Source organism: Homo sapiens, chromosome 11 (assembly GCF_000001405.40).
Source record: "Homo sapiens chromosome 11, GRCh38.p14 Primary Assembly".
Lineage (NCBI taxonomy): Eukaryota > Metazoa > Chordata > Mammalia > Primates > Hominidae > Homo > Homo sapiens.
In genome coordinates, this window is record NC_000011.10 from 2,418,631 (window position 1) to 2,431,695 (window position 13,065).

Genomic DNA, 13,065 nt, shown 5'->3' on the forward strand with positions numbered 1-13,065 from the left:
CTGGGGTGACCACCCGGATCTCAGGCTCTCAGGCCACCACATTTTCTGGCCAAAAGCTGGCTCTTCCGAATAAAGTGTGGGCTTCGTCTGGGCCACGTGACACAGGCTGCTTATTACAGCCCCTGCCATATGAGGGCCGAGGGCTCCAATGCTAACCTACACTACCCAGCACGCGCACTTTGTGGCAACAGCTGGCATATGGCTGTTAAAACACAAAGTGACGTGGAAGAAACGGAGCACCCAGCCCTACAGGTGCACTGCCACACTGCACGCGCTCATGCTGAGCATGGCAGAGGCAGCATCTCGACCATCGAGGGAGCTCTGCTGGGTGGGCTGCGCCTGACCACTCAGCAAACTGAAGAGGTACAGGAGGGAGTCTTCAGGTTTCTCCCCCAAACAGAAGCTGGAAATGAGATGTCTATATGTGAAGCCCCCAGAGAGGCCTGGACCTGCCCCTGTCTTCTGTGAGGGAGTGAACTGCCTGGAGGTGCCTTAGAATCACCCACAGGGAACTGGGCTCGCAGGCGGGCCCCTGACTTTGAAAGGTGCCTCCTGATTGAATCTGGAGGATAAATCAGGCCTGGCCAAACGGTGCCCGGGCCAGCAGGGCTTCCGCAGAGCAGAGCCAGACCCTCCGCCTGTGTCCCTAGAGTTTGACGAGACTTTGTGTTTTCAATTCTAAAGAGTGCTCAGTTGACCGGGCACAGTGGCTCATGCCTGTAATCCCAGCACTTTGGGAGGCCAAAGCAGGCAGATCACCTGAGATCAGGAGTTCAAGACCAGCCTGGCCAACATGGTGCAACCCCGTCTCTACTGGGAAAAAAAAAAAAAAAAAAAGAGCCGGGCATGGTGGCACATGCCTATAATCCCAGCTACCCGGGAGGCTGAGGCAGGAGAATTGTTGGAACCTGGGAGGTGGAGGCTGCAGTGAGCCGAGATTGCACTCCTGCACTCCAGCCTGGGGGATGGGGGACAGAGTGAGATTCTGCCTCAAAAAAAAAAAAAAAAAACAGAGGGCTCAGTTGGCCTTGCCAAGAAATTACAATTCTGTTTCTAAATATTGTATATTGTTCATAGATGTTATAAATAATTATATGCTTTGTTTATGAATATTATTTACACACTAGCGTTTTCTTAGTAAGTCCAGCTTTTGAACGTGCGACTGGCCAGAGGTGCCCATTTCTCGGGTGACGCTGCCCTCTGGCGGCAGCATACCTCACGCCTGGCGGCGGGAAGTAGCCCTCTTTCAACTCACGATCTCATTTTGCCTCTTAGAGTCCCGGAGCCTCTGACCACGGCAAGGCCCAGTGAAAACAGAACTGCACCTGCTCTGGTGGGAATGTCACTGTCCAGTCAGAGCCACTCTGTCCAGCTGTGCCTCCTTCACCACTCTGCCCAGACAGCTCCTCCTCCCAGGCCCCCACGGCCCAGGCCCCCACGGCCCAGGTCTCGGTGCTCAGGCATGCGGGGTGCGTTCTGCCTGGGAAGCCCTCCCCCTTCTCCCTGGCGGTCACCCCCACTCTCCCACAGGCGGGTCCCTGGATCCCCACTGGGTCCCAAGGCTTCCCTGGGTGGCTGGGGCGGGTCTCACCCCCGTAGCCCGCCCTCTGCTCCGAGATGTGCTTCTCCAGCCTCAGCCGCAGCTCCGTCAGCCCATCGCCCTTCCCCGGGGGGCCTGGCTCCACCAGGATGAAGTGGGAGAGGTTGCTGTCCAGTGAACAGAGGGGGCCCTGGCTGCCGCCGTCATCCTCAGGGTAGTGGACAGGAAAATCCTCCTGCGCCCATGCAGGGAGACGAGGCTGAGCCCTCGAGAGGCAGCTTGGGCTGGTCCCGCTGCGGGATCCTCCCTGCCAGGCCGTGCACACCACGCCATGGGGCCCCGCACAAGGCTTCTGCCCGAGCCTTGGTTTCCCCACCCTTCAGACAAAAGGAGGGACGAACAGCTGGGGCCCGGGGACCCTCCTTCGACAGTCAGGGGCAGGGGCGGTGGGGAGCGGGTTCTTTTAGACAGAACCATGGAGACAGCCCAGGCTGCCGGGAGCACCTCCTTCCCGACTCTAGGGCTGGCGTCCAAACATCCACCAGGGGCTGCCCGGGCCTCCCTCGGTAGTGCCTTAGACAGACCCCAGCATGGGGGACGGAAGCTGCTTGCCCAGGCTTGGAAAGGGCTCGGGGCCTGGGCCCGTGTGGTACAGGAGGGGGTGAGGGCCCGCGCCACAGTCTACGCTGGCCGTTCCCTATGCGGTACTGCCACCTGCCGGCCGTGTGCTGGCTCTGCCCGCTCCCTGCTCTTCCTCCAGCTCGAGTCCTGTCCTCCCAGAGCTCTGCCCGCTGCCCAAACCCTTCTGAGCCCCTGCCTCCAGGCCCCCAGCGGTCGTGGTGCTGGGAGCTGGACGTGCACCTGGGCCTCCTCCAGAATGCGGCGGTGCAGGACGCGGCCCAGCGAGGCCATGCCGACAGCAACCACACGGACCTTGGTGGACGTGCTGGCCAGCGAGTGGTCGCGCACGGCCTGCCCGACATGCCTGGCCAGGCCCACGCGGAGGGCACTGGTCAGGATCCAGGCTCCTGTGGGGATGGAAGAGGGCCTCGTTGTGCCGCACGCCCCAGGTCTTCCCTAGCTGGCCCCACGCCCTAACCCCTAGGCCCAATCAGCAGCCAGTTACCTGGGAGCCAGGGGTGGGTGCTGGGGAATGCCTCACGGTGGGGTGGGGAAGCCGAGGCCCAGAGAGGGCAAGGCACCCACCCAAGGCTGCTCAGCAGCAGAACTGGCTGGGCCCAGAACCTGTGAAGTGGCACCCCCACCCCACCTGGAGCGCACAAACTGGGGTCCAGTCCCCCCACCGTGCTCCCTCCGGGACACATCCGACACAACTCTGTCCAGCTGCCTCTGCTGGGTGAGAATCCCAGGATGTTTTCCCAAATGACAAAGCCCTCGGCCCTTGTCTGGCTGGAAGATCTCTTTGGGTTTGCCACAGTCATTTAGTGAGGGATCCTGAAACCTCAAGTCCTTTTCTCCTGGGTGTTGTATAGGCCAAGCTGCCTCAAAAAACAGCCCAGCCATTGGACTCTGGCCCCTGCAGCTGGCGGCCCGACTGCTTCCCCAAGGGGTCCCACCCTGTATACACCCGGGTGCTCTGGTCCCAGGTGAGTGGGAGCAGGGACATCTCATGGCGGCCCATGGGCCCTGCTAGTGGAGGGGGCAGCTCTAAGGAAGGGCCAGGCCCAGCTGGGGGAGGTCCTGGTCCAGTACGTAGGCACTGCTGCACCTGTGGGTACTGCAGAGGACGGGCTGAGAGTTTCGGGAAATGTTCTCGTGATGGCCTGGAGAGTCAGGGGGTCTGGCTGCCGTGTGGGGTGGGAGCATTGCCTGTGCCGGGTGGGGGGACAGTCAGGGGGTCTGGCTGCCCTGTGGGGTGGGAGCACTGCCTGTGCCGGGTTGCGGGGACAGTCAGGGGGTCGGGCTGCCCTGTGGGGTGGGAGCGCTGCCTGTGCCGGGTGGGGCCTCACCTGTGCTCTGAGCCGCCTTCACCAGCCCCTTGCGCAGCACATCCCGCAGCCAGGACTTCATGGCGAAAGGCTGCTCCTCACCCACCAGGGACACCACCAGGTTGGGGGCCGGCAGGTGCCACTCAGCAAGCAGCAGGTCAAAGAGCACAGACGGGGCCACTCCGCTCGGCACCCGTACAAACTGCAAGGCAGGTCTGCAGCTCAGGGCTTTCGGGGCACGGGGCATGGGAGCTGCTGGGCATTGGGGGGGGCTGGACACAAGGGGGCACTGGGGAGGTGCTGAGCATGGGGGGACACTGGGCACTGGGAGGTGCTGGGCATCAAGGGGGCTGGACACAGGGGGTACCGGGGAGGTGCTGGGCATTGGGGGCAGGTAGCAGGAGGAGAGTGGCCCCCAATATCCCTTCTGGGACAGGGCCAGTCCTCCCTTGACCTGCTGTGTGACCTGGGCAGTCCTGACCCCTCTCTGGGCTGGCATCCCCCTCAGTGAGCCGAGGGCGCTGGACAGAGGTGGGGCCCTGGATGCACTTGACCTTGCACCTCCAAATCTCTCGGGGGGACTTCAGGGGTCCCGGTTATTGCAGGGAGGTAGGAGGCCGGCCAGAGCCACTCCTTCCAGCTCTGGAACTCTGCCTGTCTGGGGGCTCTGAATATGGCCCCAGGGGAGCAGACCCCAGGGGTGAGGAGGACCCTGGCACTCAGCTTCCAGGGAAGGAAATGGGGCCTCATGGGTTCCAGGTCAAGGCGGACATCACCTGAGGCCTGGGGCCTGCCCTTACCTTGCCTCGCTTCTTCCCAGACCCTCCAAAGTTGACCTCGCCCCTGTGCAAGCCCAGCTCCCGCCGGTCTTCAGCATCCCCGGGGCTTCCGGGACGGGGGCCTTGGACATCCTGCATGGTGGCCTCTAGAGCTGCAGGGATACCCTGGCCCTTGAGGGCTGAGAAGGCCCATCCCCACCTCCCTCCCCTCAGGGGGCTGGCTCTGCTTTCCCCTGGGAAGCCCCTCTCCAGCCAACATGCACAAGGAGACCTGGGGACTGCCCCCAGGCATCTCTGCCCCAGGGACCTTCTCTCCAGCCAGGCCCTGCCCAGCGACCCCCTGCAGCTCCGACACTCGCTGTAGCACCGCCCCAACCAAGCTCCTTCCCAGGTGAGGATGGGATGTGTGGGGCTCCGCTGTCAGCGCCTGGTTCCTCTACTCACCCCACTCAGGGCACCTCAGGTTGGCCACACCTGCAGACATTTCTCCAGAGGCCTTTTGTGGGGATGACCTGGAAACTCCGAAAGACTCAGCAGAGGCCTTGCAGTCCCCTGGCCACACAGCCCACCCGCTCCCAGGACAGGGATGTGGAGACCCTGGGTGCACCTGGGTAGAGGTGAAAAGGTGAGACAGGTGCCCTCAGCTCAAGTGCAGGAGGCGGTGTGGACGAGAGACCACCTTCCTTGCCCAGGAGGTCCAGGAGGCCCAGGACACACAGAGAGAGGAGGCCTTGCCCCGGCCCACACAGCATCAGCAGCAGAGCTATTCCCGTGGCGCTCCCACATCAGCAAGCGGGGGTAGAAGAGGCCGCGTGCGCCTCAGCCCTATTCCCTCAACCCTCATGGGGCTCATGTCTCCCAGCTGCCCGGTGAGGTCGGGCATCTCAGCCCCTCTCTATGTGGCAGGGATCCAAGGATCGGCACTGGCCCCTCAGCGCCCTGGCTCCGCCCCTGCCCACAGCCTCATCTGTCAGCTGCCCAGCCCCAGCCTGGCTGACCTCGGTCTGGCTTGGTCCCACCTCCCTCCGATTGCTCCTCTGAAAACTCAATATTGGAAGCTGGTGCTTGAGGACAAGCCCTGGCAGGCCGAGGGCACCTGCTCCTCTGTCTGCCCTCCTGGAACCACGCGTCGGGTCACAGGCCGCTGGGCAGAGGTCTCCGTGGGCCCCCAGCCACCCTACCCTGTCCGACCTGGGGCTACCTGGCAGCTCCTGATCCCACAGGGCTGTCCCTTGGTTCTCCTGTGCCCACCTTGTACCCAGGCGCTCTGGGCTGTGTCCACCACAGAAGCCCTTTGTGAGAAGACAATGGACCGTTCTGTAAAAACCTTCATTTCCTAGAGAGGGGCCCACCTGTGACCCCAGGAGGGGATACAGGAGTTGGGGGGAACTTCAGAGATGAGAGGGAGTGTGTCCTGGGACCCCTGGGGCTGGCTTTGGGGCAGAGGCTAAGGCCAAGGCCCTCCCCATTAGGCCTCTGGAGCCAGCACAGTTACTGCATCCCCAAACAGGTATGTCCAAGTCCCAAACCCCAGGACCTGGGAATGTGACCTTTGGAAACAGGCCCTTTGCAGATGTATTAAGATGTAAGTAAAGATGAGGCCATGCTGGAGCAGGGGGAGCCCTGATTCCCAGGTTCTGATAGAGAAAGGGGACATTTGGACGTAGAGACAGACGCGCAGGGAAAAACACCCTTTAAGACACAGGGGAGGGGTGAAGGCAGTGGTTGGGTGATGTGGCCACAAGCCAAGGGACACCTGGAGCCCCGAAGCTGGAAGAGGCAGGAAGGATCCCCCTCGAGGGCTTGGCCTTGCCGACAGTTTGACTTAGGACTCAGCACTGGTGGCCTCCAGAACCATGAGAGAATCAATTGCCATTGTTTTAAGATGCCCAGCTCAGGCTGGTTGTCTTGGCTGCCCAGGGCCCCCCTGTGAGGCCCAAGTCAACCCCGGCACGACTTCTGGTGACTGCCAGCCCCAGGCAGGACCCACCCACGGGCCTCAGCCCCCTCCTCCGGCCAGGCCTGTGGAGGCGCCCTGATGCCCTCAGCACCACGTGGGCCTCAGCTGTCCCTGCAGGGTGATGCAAATCCTCCCGCACTTCTGCCTCCAGAGCAGGAACCAGCCCGCGGACCGCAGAGAGGCAGGATTTGAATACGGCCTCCCGCGCTGGTGGAGACGCCTGGTGGTTTTCTGTGTTGGGAGCTGGTGTCTGTGGCCAGGCCCCAGGTGGGGGCTGGAGGCTGGGACAAGGCTTGGCATTGCTGTTGTGTCCCGGGGCTGCCAAAACAAAGGGCCACACTCTCGGGGGCTCAAAACAACAAATGGATGATCTCATAGTTCTAGAGCCCAGACGTCCCAAATCCAGGCATCGGCAGGGCCGTGCTCCCCCTGGAAGCTCTCAGAGCGGGTCCTTCCCACCCTTTCCAGGTTCCTGAGGCGCCAGGTGTTCCTGGCTGTGGCCGCGTGGCTCCAGCTTCTGCCTTGGTTGCCGCATGGTCTGCCTCGCCTGTCTGTGTCCTCTGCAATCATTGATTGCCCAGGCCCGCCCTACCCCAGCGTGGCTTCATCTTCATGGTGCGCCATCTGCAAGGACCCCACTTCCAAACGAGGTCATATTCTAAGGTTCCCAGTGGACAGTATCCAACCATTAGTGTCGCCCCATCTGGGAGGACACCACTTAATGCAGAACAGGCAGGGAGGTGGGATGTGTGCTTGTAGCCCTGGGCGGGAGTCCTCACCCTGGGCGGGGGTCCTCAGGCTGGCCTTCACTCCCACCAGGCCCTGCCACACCTGGTCACCCGCTGGGGTCAATCCTGGCTACGTGTGGACATGTGCCCTGCAGCTGGGGATGCATGGCCAGGCGTGTCCCCAGCACAGGGTGTAGGGGGCTTGGGGTTTGGCCATGACCCTCAGCCTGGGGGACGGGACTGGGCTGGACAACACTGTTATCCTCGCCTTCCCCATGACTCTTAGGCCATAGATGGGGGACTCCTTCTTCTCTTCCCTTCGTCCCTGGTGGGGAAGCTAATGGAGGGCCTGGGCCTTGGGAGGGGTCCTACAGGGCTCCCTGGCCCTTGAATTGCTTTCCAGTGAGCCTCAGCTTTGCCTCTTGGAAGTTCTGGGATAGGACATCCGGGAGTACCCTTCAGCCTGGAGCTCGGCAGTGCCTCCCTGACTCTATGCAAGACCCCCGGGACGACCAGCAGCCATCAGAGGTGGAAGCAGCCACAACCAAAGCTCTGGCCCTTCCCAGGGCCCACAGCACCTCCTTCCTCCCGAGGACGGGACAGAGCTGGGCACCCAGCAGCTGAGGTCAGGGAAGCCGAGTAGCAGCGTGGGGCAGCCTCACCTTCCTGGTGGCCGCAACCACCCCTTGCCCCATGCCCAGGCTCGGTGCCCCCCGCCCCCGCCGGCCAGCCCAGGGACTAAGGAGGCATTTGGCCAGGTGCTAGGCACCAGGCAAATGGGCCCAGAGGGAGGTGATGCAAACAGCTGGGATTTGCATGAGCAGGTGCCCAGGTCTTCTGCACCCCTCCCTGTGCATCCCAGGGTGGGGCAGGGAGCCCGGGACAGCCAGGGGCCATCGTGACCCCTGGCCAGAAGTCCACCCCAGAACTCCCAAGAGGCAAAACTGAGGCAGCCCCCCAGACGGTGAAGGCGCTGGGGCTCCCAGGGCAGCGGGGCACCTGTAGCCGCAGCCAAGAGCCAAATGTGGCTTCCTGGGCTCCCCAAGACCAGCTCAGGGCAGAGCTGGATGACCAGGCCCTGGGGTCCCAGCCCCGCTCATCCCCACCAGGCTGTGTAACTTTGGGCAGGTCCCTCAGCCTCCCTGGGCCTGCCTCATTTGTGAGATTTGGGGGAACGGCCAGTCACAAGGGGAGGGTGCCAGAAAGGTCCCTGCGTGCAGCAGGCTGGAAGTCAGCTGTGTGTCCTTGTGTCCTCCCTATGAGGATGCCCCATCTCCCTGGGCTGCAGTGGAGGACACGGCTCAGGGAAGTGGTGGCAAGAGGACACAGTAGTGACCTGGTGACCCCAGACCCCTCCCACTGCCCCACTCCCTTCGCCCTCAGCTTCTGAGCCGCACCTGCCTTTGCAGGCTGCTGGCCAGACACTGCCCCTGAAGTCTCAGATCCAGAGCCCGTGGGGCTGGCCCTCCTGCCCAGACCCTCTTCCAGCACTGGGCAGCCCCTTCCAGAATGCCCCACCTCACCCCAGTGGGGCCGGCCCTTCACAGCCCAGGGAAGCGGGGATCCTCCCTGCTAAAGATAAGGAAACTGAGGCAAGAGGCAGGGGTGTGGCCAAAGCCGCACTGTCCTGGTCCCCACTCCTCTCATGCCCACCTGCCCTTCCCACCTGGGAGGAGGAGGTACAATCCTGCTCCTTCTCCCCACCTGGGCTGTCAGCGGTGTGAGGGTCCCTACCTGTCTGCCTTCTCCCCAGCACCCTGACACGCGGCTGCTGGCCAAGGCGCGGGTGGAGCCGTCTGCCTACCTTGCAGGGTGTGCCTGTGGGCCCAACTCTCAAGCCTCTCCTCCTCCTCTTCCCCGCCCACAACTCCTGGCACCTGGGCAGCCAATGCCAGCCCTAGGGAGCTGGCCATGAACCAACACAGGGCACCACCTCACCTGCTCCACACGGCCGAGCCCACAGGCCTGCTGTCTCCAAAGCCACCCAGACACCAAGGGCTGGCCGTCCTCAGGTGTGATTGGCACCAAGGCCCTGGGGGCATGTCCGATTTGACTGGGAGAGGAGACCCTGTGTGGACGTGGCTTCTAGGCCACTTAGATTGCTGTCGTTGCCTCCTTTGGCGATGTCTGGCGGGGTGGCCCGGGACCGATGCAGCTGAAATCCACCCTGAAATGTGATGGGACAGGGCTCTTCACCTCAGTTTCCACAGTAAGTAGGAACAGGAGCTGCCTCAAGAGCACACGTCTCATGCCGGGGTGCTGGGCCCAGCTGTCCTGTGGAGGACAGGGAGGCAGAGGGACTGTCTCCTCCCTGCTGTGGCCCTGCGAGGCCGTGGGGCATCGGCCCCCATGGTGTCTCATCTGTGCTGGAAAGGCTGCACAGCCGTGGGCCAGCTGTGAGTGATGTCCATTCACCGGTCAGCACCAGGGATGCTCTGTGAGGACTGTCCCTGCATCCGGAGTCAGGACAGGGTGCCAGTGGGACAGAGTGTGCCTCTGGAATCCCGCAGTCCTGGGATTGGATCCTGCATAGCTGTTGAGCTACTTAGCCACTTGGGCCTCAGTACCTTGGAGTGTCAAACAGGGACTCTAATAGCCTGGCTTCTGGGAGGTTGCAGGTAACACATGAGGAGAACAGAGCCTGGGGGATACCTCTGTGTGCCCCTTCCCAAAGAGACTCCAAGGACCCCCTGTTCGGGGCCCCTCAAACCATAAACTCCAGGAATGGTGGGGGACAGTATCTGGGACTTGCTCTCTGGGACCCTGGTGGCCTCTCTAGTCTGGCCTGTCAGCCACCAGAGGGCGCTAAAGGACCATGGGCAGAGTCTGAGGCAGTGGTGGTAACGGGTGAAGGTGATGGTGGTGGTGGTGATGATGGTGGCAGTAGTGGTGGTGGTGGTGATGATGATATTGATGGTCATGATGGTGGTGGTGACAATGATCATGGGGACCGTGCTGATGGCGGTGTTTGTGATGATGGTGGCGGTGGTGGTGATGGTGGTGGGCATGAGGGTAGTTGGGGTGGTGATGGCATTACCGTTGATGAGGGTGGTGATGATAGTGATGGTGATGGTGGTGGGAATGATGACGAAGATGATGATGATAGTGGTGCAAATGGCAGTGGTGGTGGTAGTGACTGTGGTGTTGTTGATGGTATTAGTGCTGATAAAGGTGGTGATGATGATGATGGTGGTGGGTGACGAAGGTGGTGGTGGTGATGATTGTGGTGGGGATAATGGTGGTGATGGTGGTTATTGCAGTGGTAGTGTTGATCATGGTGGTGGTAGTGATGGTGGTCATGATGTTGGTGGTGTTGGTGTTGGTATTGGTGTTGGTGATGGTGATGGTGGTGGTAATAATCATGGGATGATGATAGTAGTCATGGTGGTAGTGACAATGGTGACAGTGGAGGGGATGGTGGTGGTGATAATGATTGTGGTGGTGATGGTGATAGTGTTGGTACTGGTGGTGGTGATGATGGTTGTGGTGGTGGTGATGATAGTGGAGGTGGTAGTAATGATGATGGTGGTGGTAGCTGGTAGTGGTGGCAGTGGTGGTGATGGTGATGATTGTGGTGATGGTGATGGGGTAGTGGTGGTTATGGTGGTGTTGGTTGTTATGGTGGTAGTGATGATCATGGTGGTGGTGACTATAGTCACTGGTGATGCTGGTGTTCATGGTGATGGTGATGATGATAGTGGTGGTGGTTGTGGCAGTGCTGCTGCTGATGGTGGTGGTGATGATGAGGGTGATGATGACAATGAGTATGATGATGGTGGTGGTGATGATCGTGGTTGTGGTGTGTTGATGGTGGTGTTTATTGTGGCGGTGATGATGATAGTGTTAATAATTGTGGTGATGTTGGTGATGGTGGTGATGGAGACGATGATGGTGATGATTGTACTGGTGGTGTTGGTGATGGTGTGGTACGATGGTGGTGCTGATGGTCATGATGGTGGTGGGGGTGATAATGATCCTGGTGGTGGCCATGGTGGTGTTTTTGATAACGTGATAATGTTGGAGATGGTGGTGATTGTGGTGGTGATAATGGTGGTCATGGTGATGGTGATATCAGTGTGGGTGATGTAGTGGTGGGGATGGTTCAGATGTTGGTGATGGTGGTGGTGATGGCAGTGATAGTTAGGATGATGGTGATGATGATGATGGCATGGGTGCTTGATATGGTTTGGCTCTGTGTTCCCTTCCAAGTTGTAATCACCATAATCCCCATGTGTCAAAGGCGGGACCAGGTGGAGGTAATCGGATCATGGGGGTGGTTTCCTCCATGCTGTTCTCATGATAGTGAGTGAGTTCTCATGAGATCTGATGGTTTTATAAGCATCTGGCATTTCCCCTCACTCCATCCTGCTGCCCTGTGAAGAAGGTGCCTCTAAGTCTATGGAGTTGGGGGGCACAGTCCTTCATCTATCCTGGTCCTTCCCTCCACCTCTGTCTCCTGGACACCCAAAAAAACTGCAGAAGTTCTTCCCCAGCCAACTCTGGTTCAGTGCCAGGTCATGTTCCTCCCCGCCTACAACCTTCCATGGCTCCCTATTACCCTGACAATAAAACCCAAAGAAGCCTTGGAGCCTTGGCTTCTGGTGATCTGCTAGGATCACTTTTCCTTGGAACTCCTGCTGGCTCCCTCTTGCCACTCAGATACTGGCAGAACCTGGAGTGGGTGCTGGCTTGCACTCACTCCATCCTGCTGCCCTGTGAAGAAGGTGACTTGCTTCCCCTTCATCTCCGTCATGATTGTAAGTTTGCTGAGGCCACCCCAGCCATACTGAACTGTGAGTCAACTCAACCTCTTTCCTCGGTAAATTACTCAGTCTCAGGCAGTTCTAATACAGTGGTGATACTAGTGGTGGTGGTGGTGGTGGTGGTGGCTGGTTGTGGTAATTACAGTGGTAGTGGTGATGGTGGTAGTAATGATGATGATAGTGCTGGTGGTGATGTTGGTGGCAGCGGTGAGGGTGGTGGCGGTGATGGTGACGGTGTTGATGGTGGTGGTGGTTTTGGTGGTGGTGATGTTGGTGGCAGTGATGAGGGTGGTGGCAGTGATGGTGACAGTGTTGATGGTGGTGGTGGTTTTGGTGGTGGTGATGGAGGCGGTGTTGGTGTTGGTGGTGGTTTTGGTGGCGGTGATGGTGATGGTGTTGGTGGTGGTGGTTTTGGTGGTGGTGATGGTGGTGTTGATGGTGGTGGTGGTTTTGGTGGCGGTGATGGTGATGGTGTTGATGGTGGTGGTGGTTTTGGTGGTGGTGATGGAGGTGGTGTTGGTGGTGGTGGTTTTGGTGATGGTGACGGTATTGGTGGTGGTGGTTTTGGTGGTGGTGATGGAGGTGGTAGTGATGATGGTGGTCATGTTTATGGTAGTGATGACAGGGATGATGCTGGTCGTGGTAATAGTGGTTATGGTAGCAGGCCATGTTATAACGCTAGCAGCTTTGCTCTGGATGGGAAGGCTCCAGGTACTCCCAAAGTAGGCACCTATGGGCTGCTCTGTAAATGTCCCTTTGTCCCCTAGCATGGCTGAAACCCTCATCCTGAGAGGAGAAGCAGATATCAGCTTCCTCAGTAAATGCAGGTTGGTGTTGAGCTCAGAAACCCAGAACTTGGCTCTGAGCAAATGGGACTCAGACCAGGGACCCCACAAGCCCTCAGGCCTGAGACCCTAAAATCCTAGTTCTGAGAGCGAGGGGCCTATCTTGGGGGCCCTGGGCAAGGCGGAGGGTCCACTAGACCCTGAAAGTCCAGCCTAAGCTCACATCCACTCCTCTAGCCTGTGTCGTTGCCCTACAGCAGGTTCTGCCAGTGTCTGTGGTATGTGAATAATGAGGAGGTTCCCCCAGATCCTCTAAGCCTATGGGGTTGGGAGGCACAGTCCTTCCTCTATCCTGGTCCTGCCCTCCACCTCCATCTCCTGGACACCCAAAAGACTACAGAAGTTCTTCCCCAGCCACCCCTGGTTCAGTACCAGGTCATGTTCCTCCCTGCCTACAACCTTCCATGGCTCCCTATTACCCTGACAATAAAACCCAAAGAAGCCTTGGAACCTTGGCTTCTGGTGCTCTACCAGGAGCACTCTTCCTTGGAGCTCCTGCTG

The 13,065-nt window shown here is 59.8% G+C and overlaps 1 protein-coding gene across 3 annotated transcripts in view, besides 1 other annotated feature; it reads right to left on the reverse strand.

Annotated features, from left to right (window-relative positions):
- TRPM5 (transient receptor potential cation channel subfamily M member 5) overlaps window positions 1-13,065 on the reverse strand; it is a 40,524-nt gene that overhangs the window by 14,640 nt on the left and 12,819 nt on the right. For 2 of the 3 annotated variants that reach the window (XM_047426858.1, XM_017017628.2), the window contains exons 1-6: window positions 8,691-8,754; window positions 4,713-4,875; window positions 4,290-4,420; window positions 3,511-3,691; window positions 2,402-2,568; window positions 1,592-1,775 (exon numbers count right to left, since the gene is read on the reverse strand). In XM_047426858.1, the coding sequence (XP_047282814.1) occupies window positions 1,592-1,775; window positions 2,402-2,568; window positions 3,511-3,691; window positions 4,290-4,420; window positions 4,713-4,752 (703 nt within the window). In that variant the 5' untranslated portion in view covers window positions 4,753-4,875; window positions 8,691-8,754. Of the gene's footprint in view, window positions 1-1,591; window positions 1,776-2,401; window positions 2,569-3,510; window positions 3,692-4,289; window positions 4,421-4,712; window positions 4,876-8,690; window positions 8,755-8,894; window positions 9,124-13,065 lie in introns of those variants that run through there. The other variant, NM_014555.4, reaches the window with a different exon arrangement.
- Window positions 9,569-9,863: a silencer, noted in NCBI's record as "tiled region #9407; K562 Repressive non-DNase unmatched - State 13:Ctcf". NCBI's record gives its function as "represses a minimal TATA promoter and a strong SV40 promoter by Sharpr-MPRA in K562 cells {active_cell/tissue: K562}" and the evidence as "EXISTENCE:reporter gene assay evidence [ECO:0000049][PMID:27701403]".